The 13,014-nt window shown below is 35.4% G+C and overlaps 3 annotated features.

Moving 5' to 3' along the window:
• Nucleotides 1,516–1,685: an enhancer, noted in NCBI's record as "experimental_67940 CRE fragment used in MPRA reporter constructs". NCBI's record gives its function as "activates a minimal promoter by MPRAs in K562 erythroleukemia cells, with activity observed for the introgressed 3:20738089 variant allele {active_cell/tissue: K562}" and the evidence as "EXISTENCE:reporter gene assay evidence [ECO:0000049][PMID:34662402]".
• Nucleotides 5,718–5,887: an enhancer, noted in NCBI's record as "experimental_67948 CRE fragment used in MPRA reporter constructs". NCBI's record gives its function as "activates a minimal promoter by MPRAs in K562 erythroleukemia cells, with activity observed for the introgressed 3:20742291 variant allele {active_cell/tissue: K562}" and the evidence as "EXISTENCE:reporter gene assay evidence [ECO:0000049][PMID:34662402]".
• Nucleotides 11,747–11,916: an enhancer, noted in NCBI's record as "experimental_67959 CRE fragment used in MPRA reporter constructs". NCBI's record gives its function as "activates a minimal promoter by MPRAs in K562 erythroleukemia cells, with activity observed for both the introgressed and non-introgressed 3:20748320 variant alleles {active_cell/tissue: K562}" and the evidence as "EXISTENCE:reporter gene assay evidence [ECO:0000049][PMID:34662402]".

Genomic DNA, 13,014 nt, shown 5'->3' on the forward strand with positions numbered 1-13,014 from the left:
TTTGGATACAACTTACACATATCCCCCCCAATACTTTAAATAATTTTTAGATTACTTATAATACCTCATACAGTATAAATGCTGTAAAAATTGTTATGTTGTAATTGTTTAGGGAATAATGACAAGAAAAAAAAGCCTGTATGTGTTCAGTACAGATGTGACCATCTATTTTTTTTCTGAATATTTTCAATCTCCTCTTAGTTGAATCCATGAATGTGAAACACACAAATATGAAGGGCCATCTGTAATGTCCTTCAGAAGAAAATTAGCTTGAGTACTCATTTGCCAGATTACCAGAAATCAAGTAATTCCCTCAGGGCTCACTTTTCCCCACTTGAAAATCCAAGAACCCCAGGAATCTATGTGGTATAAAAGAAAGAGGGCTGTATCTACCCACTTATTTGAGCAGAACAGAGAGAACTTAGAATTGCATCAATCTGAATTGCCCTTGCTTCCTACTACCAAATGGAGCTTGTGCAGATAGACTGTGACGCAGTCTAACACAGGCTGCTTGTTCTCGACTGGTCCAGAATCCCCAAGAGAGGACCATTCAAGGTTAAACATCTTTTAGAGAGCATCATCTTATTCTCTTGGTTCTGAGTTAGGCTCAGGGGATCCTGATGTCTAAAGATGGCAGTTCTTCATGCTTAAATTTCTTTGTTCCTCCAGCAGTCATTCTCCGTGATGCTAGCTGTTCCAACGGCACAGCTTTCCTTTCCCTCTCTAAGATCCATGCAGCAGAAGTTCACCGTTTTCTCTTTTCAATCCCCAAAACAAAATAGTGTGTTATATGCTTCTGAGACAGTAGAGCTATCCATTTATGCCTCAGTTGCTAGCTACATCAACGGTCTCCAAGGAGCTCTGCTTGATTTTATCTTTGGAGAGGAGACCAGTGTCAGAGAACCAACTTCCTCTAGAGATAAAGGTGAATTTCTGGCAGCCCTCCTCAAAGTAGGGGAAGAGTGAAAGACATTCAACTTGGCAATTGAAGACTCTATTAATATTTTTTGAATGAATAAGTTAAAAAAAAGTAGATGTGAAAATCTATATCAGATCATCCAAGTGATAGGGTTATAAAACCTGAAATTTTATTGTACTTACTATACATATTTATAATTTCATATGTAGCTTATATAATTTTATATTTATAATTTTTGTCTTAAATCTTTGGCTAATCTCTAAGTGTGGGAGAGATTTTTGAGTAAATCTGCAGTATGATCCATTTCTAAACTAAATTTCTAACTATATATTCTAAATGTTTACGTGCAGTGTATGCATACATATTTTATAAACATATACTATACTATTTGGATTTAATAATATTTTAGAAGTTTTGTTTTTATTTTGGCCACATTTACAAAAATGTAAGTACAAATTTAAAATAAGTTTGTGTTTGCCCATTATCCAGCCACAACTTTAAAGCATGCCATACTTGATAAGTTTCTAGATGTGTTTTAATGGCAGAGTCTCATCTATGCAGCCAATCTGGATGATAAAGCAATGCCTATTTCAAGTGTTTGGCCTATGAAGAGAATAAAGTGGATGGCTGTGGGTCACACCTAGCCACGTCATTTAATTCTCTTGCCAGACAAGATTGGGAATTGCCTGGAGGAGGTGTTATGTTCTCTCTGGAACTATCCTTCCCTAGAAAAGAATGTGGCTGTTTGAAAAATCTATTCCAAGCGGGAAGCTACATCAATGGAGAACTGCTGTTGTTATTATTTAGTTAGTGTCTGGACTTGGCATTTGAGGTGAGATGCACGTGCTAATTGTCTCAAAATGGATGGAAAGGAGCCTTGAATATTTCCACATGCCTTCCTTGACCAAAGGTGCTTTCACAGAGTTGATAAATATTTGCTCAGTATCAATTTGAAGCTCAGAAACTCACAAACAAATATGTTCCTCTAAAGGGCAGAAGCAAACTTTCTGTGGGAACAGGCCAATATTCCAAACATGTGACATCAGCTTTTGGTGTGAGATTTTAGTTCCAGACCCTTGGAGTCTCTTCAGTAAACTTTAGCGTGCTCAGGAGAGTTTCCTATACATATGTTTCAAATGGTTTTCAAAATATATTTTTAAAAATACCCTGAAAATTTCAGGAATATCTTGATTTTGAAGAAGATAAATCTGTTAATTAGGGGATAAAACAGAATATAGTAATGATTTAGAGAGTTACTTAGTACTATAAATACTTCTGAAGACTTTTTTTAATGGAAAAGAAATTGAGGAAACAATGCTAATTATATCTTCCAACATCTGGACTGGGAAATTAAGTCAATGCCTAATTGCAGACCTAGTGATTATTCTAACTCCAGATTCTTATAAGCATGTCTGCATATGCTGGTTCTAAGTCTTACAGTTGAGATACAAAGGAAGATGAGGAGGAGGGGGCTTCTCATGGGTCTCCAGTCCAGCATTTTATTAGAGCTCTGCATTGATTGCCTGTTGTGCAAACACTATACAAGTGGTAGTTTATTGTCATTCTGCTATTGTGTCCACACTTTCTTTGGAAGTATTCTTCTGGGAAAGGTATGCTTTGGTTTCAGGATAGGATTTAGTCATTTATGAGTCCTTTGACTTTTCTTAATACTAAGTTTCACTCTTAATCACTAATATTAATGCATTTTTTATTCATCTATCCTTTCCTGTCATCTCCACATATTAAGATCTCATTTTTTTCTCATATTTTTAGTGTCTCCTTTCAAATTGGAGTATCTTCCCTGACTTCTAACATTTGAAGGTTTCTCCGTCTTGGAAAAACAAACAAACAAAAAACAAACCCAATGCCTTCTATTTGACCTTGATATCCTTTCTTTGGACACTCATATTTCTTTTGTTTCTTAACCACGCTTTTCAGACAGGATTTCTCTAATGATGATCCCATGCCTTACCACTTGCTTTATCTGGTTATCACTTAATTGAATCCTAAGACACCTGCAAATTGATTTTTTGATGTAGTGCAAGAGGTGTATAGGAGAAATGAAAGATGCCCTACCAGACAGTTCAAAGGTGAGCAGCTGGCAAAGGCAGACTTTACATCCTCTGGGACATCACTACCCAGTATGGTAGCGACTAGCCTCATGTGGCTATTGAACAACTGAAATATGACTGATGTGACTGAGGAGGTGTATTTTAAATTTTACTGCATTTTAATTAATTTAAATTTAATTTTAGCAATTGATGTCTACTTCAGTTATTGGAATACTTTTAAGTCTGTTAAGAACAAAGTATGTCAATCTACTTTTTCAACAATAAATTTTATGAAATCTAAATATAGAACAAGTATTTTTGTTAAAATTTTTGCATCCAAATTGGGATGCGCTGTAACTGTAAAATACATACCAGATTTCAAAGACTTAGTACTAAAAGAGAGAATATAAAATATCTCATTAATAATATTTCTAGGCTGGGCACGGTGGCTCATGCCTGTAAAGTCAGCACTTTGGGAGGCTGAGGCGGGCGGATCACCTGAGTGATAGAAGGAGTGATAGAAGGAGTTCGAGACCAGCCTGGCCAACATGGTGAAACCCCGCATCTACTAAAAGTACAAAAAAATTAGCCAGGCCTGGTGGCAGGCACCTGTAATCCCAGCTATTTGAGAAGCTGAGGCAGGAGAATCGCTTGAACTCAGGAGGCGGAGGTTGCAATGAGCCGAGACCATGCCATTGCACTCCAGCCTGGGCATCAAGAATGAAACACCATCTCAATAATAACAATAATAATAATAATAATAATAATAATAAATATTTCTAAAAATTTTGGTTACAGGTTAAATTTATAATATTTTGGATATACTGGGTTAAGTAAAATATATTATTAAATTAATTTTACCTCTTCATTTTTGCCTTTTTAATGCAGCTACTGAAAAATTTAAAATTATATATACACTTTGTATTATATTTCTATTAGATAGTGCTGCTCTGGAAACTCAAAAAGAACTGACTTCTAAGTTTTGGCTGGGGCTGGAGTTGCTAACTGCTACTCATGAGAAAATAATGAGTACTCAGCTACTGGTCTCTGCGGTGGAAGTAAAGGGACTGGTGAGAAAATTAGAGTCTGACCCAGGTGATAGGAAGCTACATTGAAAATACATGTAGGGCAAAGATTAAACTAAAAGGAGTACTCGGTGAGAAGCTCTGCACACAATGAGGAACGGTGGCCAGCTGTTCTGAATGGATTCGTTTAGCTATGAAGCAAATGGGTTACTGGAAATTATATAAATTTCATGAATCAGGAACAAAGTTAGCAGTTGTGACAAAGCACGGGGATTCTCTCTCATTTGTTTTTAACCAAAGCAAAAATTTCAAGGTGCTGAACCAGAAATTACCATTATAAACTTAATTCGCCCCCTTGCTGGTGGCCTAAGACAGTATCTATTGTAATTCTAGGTAAAAAGCAATTTGAAGGGGTGTTCTATACTTTGGCAGAGGAAACCCATTCCCTCTCAAGGTAAGGGCTAAAGCATTCAATTATTTTTTCTTGTATATTTAGTTTGACTTGACAATTCATTAAGATATTCCACATCTGTATTACTCAATGTGAATATTCTATTTTTAGACATTGGGAAAACTGAATAGAGGTGGTGCAACTCACCTAGAAGCAATATTTGTGAAACCCCAAATGCCCTTGGCATAGATAATTATTTTGCCCTAAAATAATGATTATGAGTATGGTTCTATGGGGAAAAACTGGGAACTCCCAATTTTCTTCCCACTTTCTGTTGTATCCTCAATAGCACCTGGACTGGGATTTCCAAAGGTGAGTTCTAGGATTAAGAGGTGATGGTTGTCCCAGGATTAAGGGCTTTGTTTGAGAACCATAATGATCCCATCCATTTAAATAGCTTGAACCTTTCTGGTCCTTTGCCAGCTATTGTCTTTTTCTTATAAGAAGAAGGGAATAAACTTTTAATGTGCACATGCTAGCCTCTGAAATCTGAGGCCTGCCTTTCCTCCTTACTAGATGCGTGTATGACTTTAAACACAGCACTTAGACATCTCGATCTTCAATTTCTTCATGTGGAAAAGATGAATTATATTAACATCTATGTCATGAGGTTTTCTAGGGATTAATGAGATAATGTCTGCAAACTCTTTATCACAATGCTTGGTATATAGTAAGAGCTTCACAGGTGTGAACTTTTGCAATTATTATCTATTAAACACTCTGTTGGATAAATTACTGTTTAATCTTCTTTAATCTCTATAACCATTTGCTGAGGTAAGGATTTTTATCCCTCTTTCATACATGAGAAAATAGAGGTTTAGAGAAGAGATAAACTAATTTGCCTGAGATTGCTACATTTGAAGGCATGATCCAGAAGCGTAAGAGACTTAAGAGCACAGACTGAACTCTGTGCTGTGTTGGAGAAGGTTATAGGGACTTTCTCTACCTCTATGTCTACGTCTATAAAAATGAGGAGAATAATTATACCTATGCCTAATATTTTTAAGAAGTTAAATAAGTTAATATTTATGAACATTTAAAATCGTGCCTGGGATGCACTAAGTGCTACATGTAATTTCTTATATAAAATATTATGTTTACTTCTATCTCTGACTTTAAAGAGTAAAATTGCCTAGGTTCTTGCTAAAGATTTCCTTCAGTTGTAGGTAAGAATTGCAGGTGTTTCAGAGACAAAGAATCCCTCTGTCATTCTGTTATAGCTCAAATCTGGTTAAAGCCACTTTGGGCACTCTCATTTTTATAATGATGCAAGTGAACAATAGTAACTCTATTTTTTGGTTCTCAAGCAGTGACAGCCTTTTGTAGACCATTGTAAGCCTAGGATCATACCTCTTTCGTATTTCTTCTGCAAAATGCCAGCCTTCCCCTGTGGCTGGGATTCTTACTCCATATGACTGACATCTAACACATGTTCTGCTGCCAAATGCTCGCTTTTCCTTTGGCTGAGTATCTGGGTTTGGCACCAGTTTTCATTTCACTTGAGAGATGTGGTGTCAATCAAGGCTGCATTGCTGGGTGAGATAAGTGGGCAGAGAACACATTTTAGAAGTCAGTTCATAAAGCTTTGGGATTATCACTGGGTTGGGAGATTTAGCAGAGAGATCTCAGGCTTTCCTTTGCTCTATGCTATACCACTAGAATGTATTGCAGGGAGGTTTTTTTGTTTTGTTTGTTTTGTCTTTTTTTTTTTTTTTTTTTTTTTTTTTTGCCTAATAAATGTAGCCTTTTTGAAGGTCAAATTCTTGTATGTATATTCAGCCAGACTTGTCATAGGAAGGGGACCAAAATGATTTATATAATTTCTATACTACACTTACTTTGAGAAAATTTTTTTGTAGATTAAGATAATTCTAATACTTGACGCTTGTGTTTCTAGCATTCTTTTAATGGAAGGATATGGAAAAAACAAGATTAATAGTCAAATAATTACAAGGAGATTGAATGTTAAGCCCGTGAACATTTCAACCAATGATTTTTAAAACATTTAAAAGGCAGCCCTCAGACTTTCTACATGTTTGAATGAACTCATCAGTATTTGATTAGGTCAGACTTCAGATATTTTTGAATGAACTTATCAAAATTCTGCCTTAAGAGACATATTTCCATACCACGGAGGGGCTGACAAACTATATCTTGATGGCCAAAACTGGACTGATGCCTTTTTTTTTGTAAATAAAGTTTTATTGAAACATAGCAACACATTTATTTAGAAATTGTCTATGGTTGCTTTCACATTGCAAGGGCAGAGTTGAGTTATCAAAGAGATAATATGGCTTGCTAAGACAAAAAAAGTTGCTATCTGGCCCTTTATATGTACTCAATTAAGCCCTAAGCAATATGTAAACGAATGAGCATGGCACTGTTCCAATAGAACTTTATTTACAAAAATTGGAAGTTTGCCAGATATGGCATGTGGCTACAGATTGTGGACCCCTGGTAGAGTGGAAATAGAAGGCATTTCAGAATCAGACACCAGTTATGTGACTTGAGAAACAATACTTAATCTCTCTGTACCTCAGTTTGCACATGTGTAAAGCAGGGATGTCAATGCCTATCTCATATGATTTTTGTGAGAATCAAATAAGAAAACGTATGATCAGGAACTAGCACATGTGAGATACTCTAAATGTATGTTAGTGCCTTTTTATTTAACACTTCATGCCACAGGCTATCTGCAACTTAGAATTACATAAAACGTAGGACAGTATCAGCTTCTCCAAACACCAAGGGAGGTTTGTCTCAGAAAAATGGGGATAAATAGAAGATTTATTTTTTTAAGCATGGTTTGTTTTATTTAAGAACTTTTGTTTGACTTATATGAGCATATATTGGAAAAGGAAGAGAAGAATTATGTTTAAAAGCCATATTATTTTGACATCACAGACTTCTCCAATTCTAATTTAATCCTAAATTTTGAAAAATATACCAAGTGTTTTGGAAAAATACCACGCTCTTAAAATACTCAAGAATTTAACGTAGCTTTACATTGTCTTTCCTGATTCTCAATGTTTGAAATACCTCTGCTACATCACTGAGCCAGCTATTCCCTACAATCACTTTAAAGAAGCAAGCATCCAAGCCCAAAAGCTGAAAAAGCACCGTATGCATGTTTTAAAACAGTGAAAAATGAAAGTGTCATAAGCAAAGTGATGTCTTTGGGCCATGGCAGGAATGCTGATGCTGAGAATCATCTATCACAAAACTCTGAATGTGGGATTGTGGAATATTTTGGTTAGATGAGGCTTAAAAATAATAATAATAAAAGAAGAATAAACATCCCTTGCTTTTATTAATAATCTACGTATTTTTTCCTCTAAGTCTAGTACAATCTACTTTCTTTACTTCCATAAAATCAAAAGCATCTGATGTAAAAATAAAAATTACATTGGAGCATCACCAGACAGATGGGAACTTCTGAGACATACTTGTGCTTCAGGGTTAGCTAAAACCTTTGCTCAGTTGTGCAAATTGCATAAGAAACCTAACTCTACTGGTCCTCCATTTTCTTCAGGTTTAGTGGGAATAAAATGCTCACCAACAGTGTTATTATAGATATTAATTATATTGTGAATATAAATGGCTACATGGTGGTGTACTTGATCCTCCATAAGTCTAATTCCTTCCTCTATATTATTTTACACTAAAGGGTATAGAGCATAATCGTAAAGCTGGGATTTGGGAACAAACAAAAGTATACAACGGTGTGATGGGGGCAACTGAAGCTTTAGGTCAGACAGTAAGCATCTTCTTTTTTTTTTTCTATCCTGCATTTTATTATTACTATTATTATACTTTAAGTTCTAGGGTACATGTGCACAACGTGCAGGTTTGTTACATAGGTATACATGTCCCATGTTGGTTTGCTGCAGCCATCAACTCGTCATTTACGTTAGGTACTTCTCCTAATGCTATCCCTCCCCCAGCCCCCACCCTCCAACAGGCCCCAGTGTATGATATTCCTTGCCCTGTGTCCAGGTTTTCTCATTGTTCAATTTCCACCTGTGAGTGAGAACATGTGATGTTTGGTTTTCTGTCTTTGTGATAGTTTGCTGAGAATGATGGTTTCCAGCTTCATCTATGTCCCTGCAAAGGACATGAACTCATCCTTTTTTATGACTGCATAGTATTCCATGGTTTATATGTGCCACATATTCTTAATGCAGTCTATCATTGATGGACATTTGGGTTGGTTCCAATTCTTTGCTATTGTGAATAGTGCCGCAATAAACATATGTTTGCATGTGTCTTTATCATAGAATGATTTATAATTCTTTGGGTATCTACCCAGTAATGGGATTGCTGGGTCAAATGGTATTTCTAGTCTAGATACTTGAGGAACTGCCCCACTGTCTTCCCCAATGGTTGAACTAATTTACGCTCCCACCAACAGTGCAAAAGTGTTCTGATTTCTCTACATCCTCTCTGGCATCTGTTGTTTCCTGACTTTTTAATGATTGCCACTCTAACTGGCGTGAGATGGTATCTCATTGTGGTTTTGATTTGCATTTCTCTGATGAACAGTGATGATGAGCATTTTTTCATGTGTCTGTTGGCTGCATAAGTGTCTTCTTTTGAGAAGTGTCTGTTCATATCCTTTGCCCACTTTTTGATGGGGTTGTTTGTTTTTTTCTTGTACATTTGTTTAAGTTCTTTGTAGATTCTGGATATTAACCCTTTGTCAGATGGGTAGATTGCAGAAATTTTCTCCCATTCTGTAGGTTGCCTGTTCACTTTGATGTTTCTTTTGCTGTGCAGAAGCTCTTTAGTTTGATTAGATCCCATTTGTCCATTTTGGCTTTCGTTGCCATTGCTTTTGGTGTTTTAGTCATGAAGTCCTTGCCCATGCCTATGTCCTGAATGGTATTGCCTAGGTTTTCTCCTAGGGTTTTTATGGTTTTAGGTGTAACATTTAAGTCTTTAATCCATCTTGAATTAATTTTTGTATAAGGTGTAAGCAAGGGATCCAGTAAGTATCTTCTTATTCATTTTGCTCAAAGTTTTAGTTAGAAAGTTGAGTAGCACAATTTAGAAACAATTCAAAACACTTTCATATGGAAACAAATAAAATCTTCCTTTGGAAATTCATGTGAAATAAATGGAAGCTTGAAAGATAATGTTTAAATACCAAGTAAATTTAATGGATTATTTAAAAGTGGTAAACAGACACCTGTGTTGATAAAGTCCTTTGTGGAATTGGTATGAAAGACCCTGAGAGAAAGAATGTGACATTTAGAGATTCAAGATAAAAATTTGACCCCTGGTTCTACTGGCTTCTTATTTTGAACCATTGAATAAATTTCTTAATCTCTTTGTCTCTCAGTTTCTGCATCTGTAAAATGCGAATCATGCACATCTGATGATAGCTTGTGATAATTAGGATTACATAAAAATGTAACCAGAGAGAATTTCTGAGAGTTTGTGAACAGTAAAGTAGTCTAAAGATGTAAGTTTTGTTGCTATGGTGTGTCGAAGCCTCCATTGTGCCAAAAAAGCGGACTAAGATGTCAAGCTCAAGGGAAGCCTTTCTTCGAGTCTGATCTCTGCTTGAAGTCATATGTTTTAGCCTTACTTTAAACACCTAAAGTGTTTTTTAGCTGAGTAGGGATCAAATTAAACCTCTTCTGATTTCTGTATCTGTAAATTGAAGAAAATAGGAATTACCTAAATGATTGTTCTGAGAATAAAAAGGAGAAAATGCATATAAAATTATCCTACAGGGGCTTACATATTGGACTCTCAAAACTGTAAATCCTTCCTTTTTCTCCCTGTCTATCCTTAACTTATCTCTTGCAAGTTTCTTTTAACTTGAAAAAAATTCTGAAGCCTAAATTCTGATTTTGGCTGTAGCCCTGGAAACTTGTTTCTGAGTGGCATGGCTTTAAAAACATCTTCTTGTTTAAGATTGTATATTCACCAATTACTTTGGAGAATTTTCTCAGATTAGCTTTTTCATGAAGATGTAGAATAAGGGGATTATAGGAAGACCACTGAACAATTCAACACAAACCCTTTATATTGTTAAGAAATTATTTTTCTCTGCTTGGGCTCTCAGTATTTGATGCTTACTTACATTGTGCCTGTTTACAAGTTATTAGCTGTTTTTTTGGTTTGTTTTTTAACACATCAATACTTTTTAGCATTCTTCAATCTAGAATTTTTACACTTACCAATTAATAAAATATCTTCAATTGTTCTTTTTTTTATTTTTGAGACAGGATCTCACTCTGTCACCCAGGCTGGAGTGCAGTGGCACGATCTTGGCTTACTGCAACCTCTGCCTCCGAGGTTCAAGCAATTCCCCTGCCTCAGCCTCCCAAGTAGCTGGGATTACAGGCATCTGCCACCATGCCTGACTAATTTTGTATTTTTAGTAGAGACAGGGTTTTGCCCTGTTGGCCAGGCTGGTCTTGAACACCTGATCTCAAGTGATCTGCCCACCTCAGCCTCCCAAAGTGCTGGGATCACAAGTGTGAGCCATTGTGCCTGGTCTTCAATTGTTTGTTAACTTATATTACATTAGGACTGGAGTTTAAATTTGTAAACAACATCTGCTAACTTTTTGCAAGTCCAGCTAGATTATAAACTTCTTAGATTTTTGTATCAAGCACACATGTCAGTTAAAGAGGTTTGGCAATAGTGCCAACTATGCATATTTATAGAAATTTTTTTTTTTTTTTCAGTTCTGGCTAAAATTTATTGCTTTTTACTAGATGCTAGGTCCTCTAGTAAGTACATTTCTTGTATTTTGTTATTTGGTTCCTCACAATAACCACAGAATAGATAAGATTTTGTAACATTTTCTTTACAGTTTTACCAAAGAAAAGTAAGGTTCAGAAAAGCTATGTTAAGGACAAAAAAAAAAAAAAAAAAAAAAAGGAAGAAAGAAAACACTTGCATACAGTTGTGCAGTCACTCAGAAAGTAAATTATGTATCAGTTAAAGTGGGTGACCAAAATTTATAGCTGTTGTCTGATCCTACTTTTGGCTAAAGTCTTCAATAGCCTACATTATACTTCCTCTTCCCGCCTCAAAAAATTATTTAATTTGAAATATGGAAAACCAGATCAATCCAACCCATTCTTCATAAATGCATGGTAGTCTAAGCAAGACACCAATCTGAGCTCCAAGATTTTATGAATAATCATATCTACTCAGTCTGTGTTACAGCAAAGGGTGGGAGCTATGCTCTACATTTCTCCTAGTATTTACATTGAATTCCGGTAAAGACTGAGTTGACCACACTACTCCAGGTACTAAAATGTGCAAGGAACTCTGTGTTGATCTCAGGGTCCCTGTCTTCCTGCACAAAGTCTCTCAATGCTGGCTTCTTAAAGAGACAGGGGGAGAAAAGATGTTAAAGTGTTTCTCTATACACTCACCAATTATTACCTTTCTATGTCAGGTTTAGTAAAGCATATTAACAAGAGCAAAATTCATACCTTTTGATGTACAGATCAATGAGTTTTAACAAACATATACAAGCTATACAATTGTTTTGCAACACCACTATCAGAATTTAGAATGTAGAATATTCCCACTGGCTCCTAAAGTTTCCTTCACTTCTGTAATCAGTCCCCATATTCAATCCCAACCCAGGAAACTACCAATCTGATATCTGACCCTAGAATTTTGCTTTTGAAAATGCCATATAAATAGAGTCATAAAGTGTGCAGTCTTTTGTGTCTTTCCTTTTTCATTTAGCAAAATCCTTTTGAGATCAATTTGCTGCATGTTTTCTGTAGTTCTTTGCTTTTATTGCACAGTTTTATTCCATTGCATAGGTGTAAAGCTATTCATATTTACCCATTCATTAATTGATAGGTGTTTGAGTTTTACTTTTTAGTGATAATGAAAAAAGCTGCTATAAACTTTTATGTACAGGCATTTGTGAAGCCATACGATAATACATAGGAGTGGGAGTGCTGGGTAATAAGGTAAATGTGTCTTTAACTTTAAAAGAAATTGTTGGTTTCCTAAAGTGACTATATCATTTTGCCTTCCCACAAGCAATGAATAAAAACTACTTTGTCCACATCCTCATTAGCACTTATTATTGTCAGTTTTTCGTTTTCGTTGTTTTGTAGCCATTTTAATAGGTATATGGTGGTAATTCATCGTAGTTTAGATTTGCATTCTCATAATAATGTGGAACATCTTATGTGATTATTTGCTTTTACATCTCTTCTTTGCTAAAATGTCCATTTTTTATTCATTTATTTTTGTTGCTGTTGTTATTATTTGTTGTGAGAGTTGGCTTTTTATTAGATATGTTTGCTAAAAATGTTTTCTCACAGTTCATAACTTTTCTTTTCCCTTATGGTGTGTTTCAAAATGCAAACATTTTTTATTCTTAATTTTGATAGTGTACCATATGTTGAGATTGTATTGAATTTATAAATCAATTTGGGGGAGAATTGATATACCAATAACATTTGTTGCTCAGATTGATAAGCCTGGTATATCTCACAATTTATTTGGGTTTCCTTTGGTTTCTCTCTCAACATTTTGCAATTTTCAGTATATAAATTTAACACATATTTATTTTGT

The sequence above is a fragment of the Homo sapiens genome, chromosome 3 (assembly GCF_000001405.40).
Source record: "Homo sapiens chromosome 3, GRCh38.p14 Primary Assembly".
In the NCBI taxonomy this organism is placed as follows: domain Eukaryota; kingdom Metazoa; phylum Chordata; class Mammalia; order Primates; family Hominidae; genus Homo; species Homo sapiens.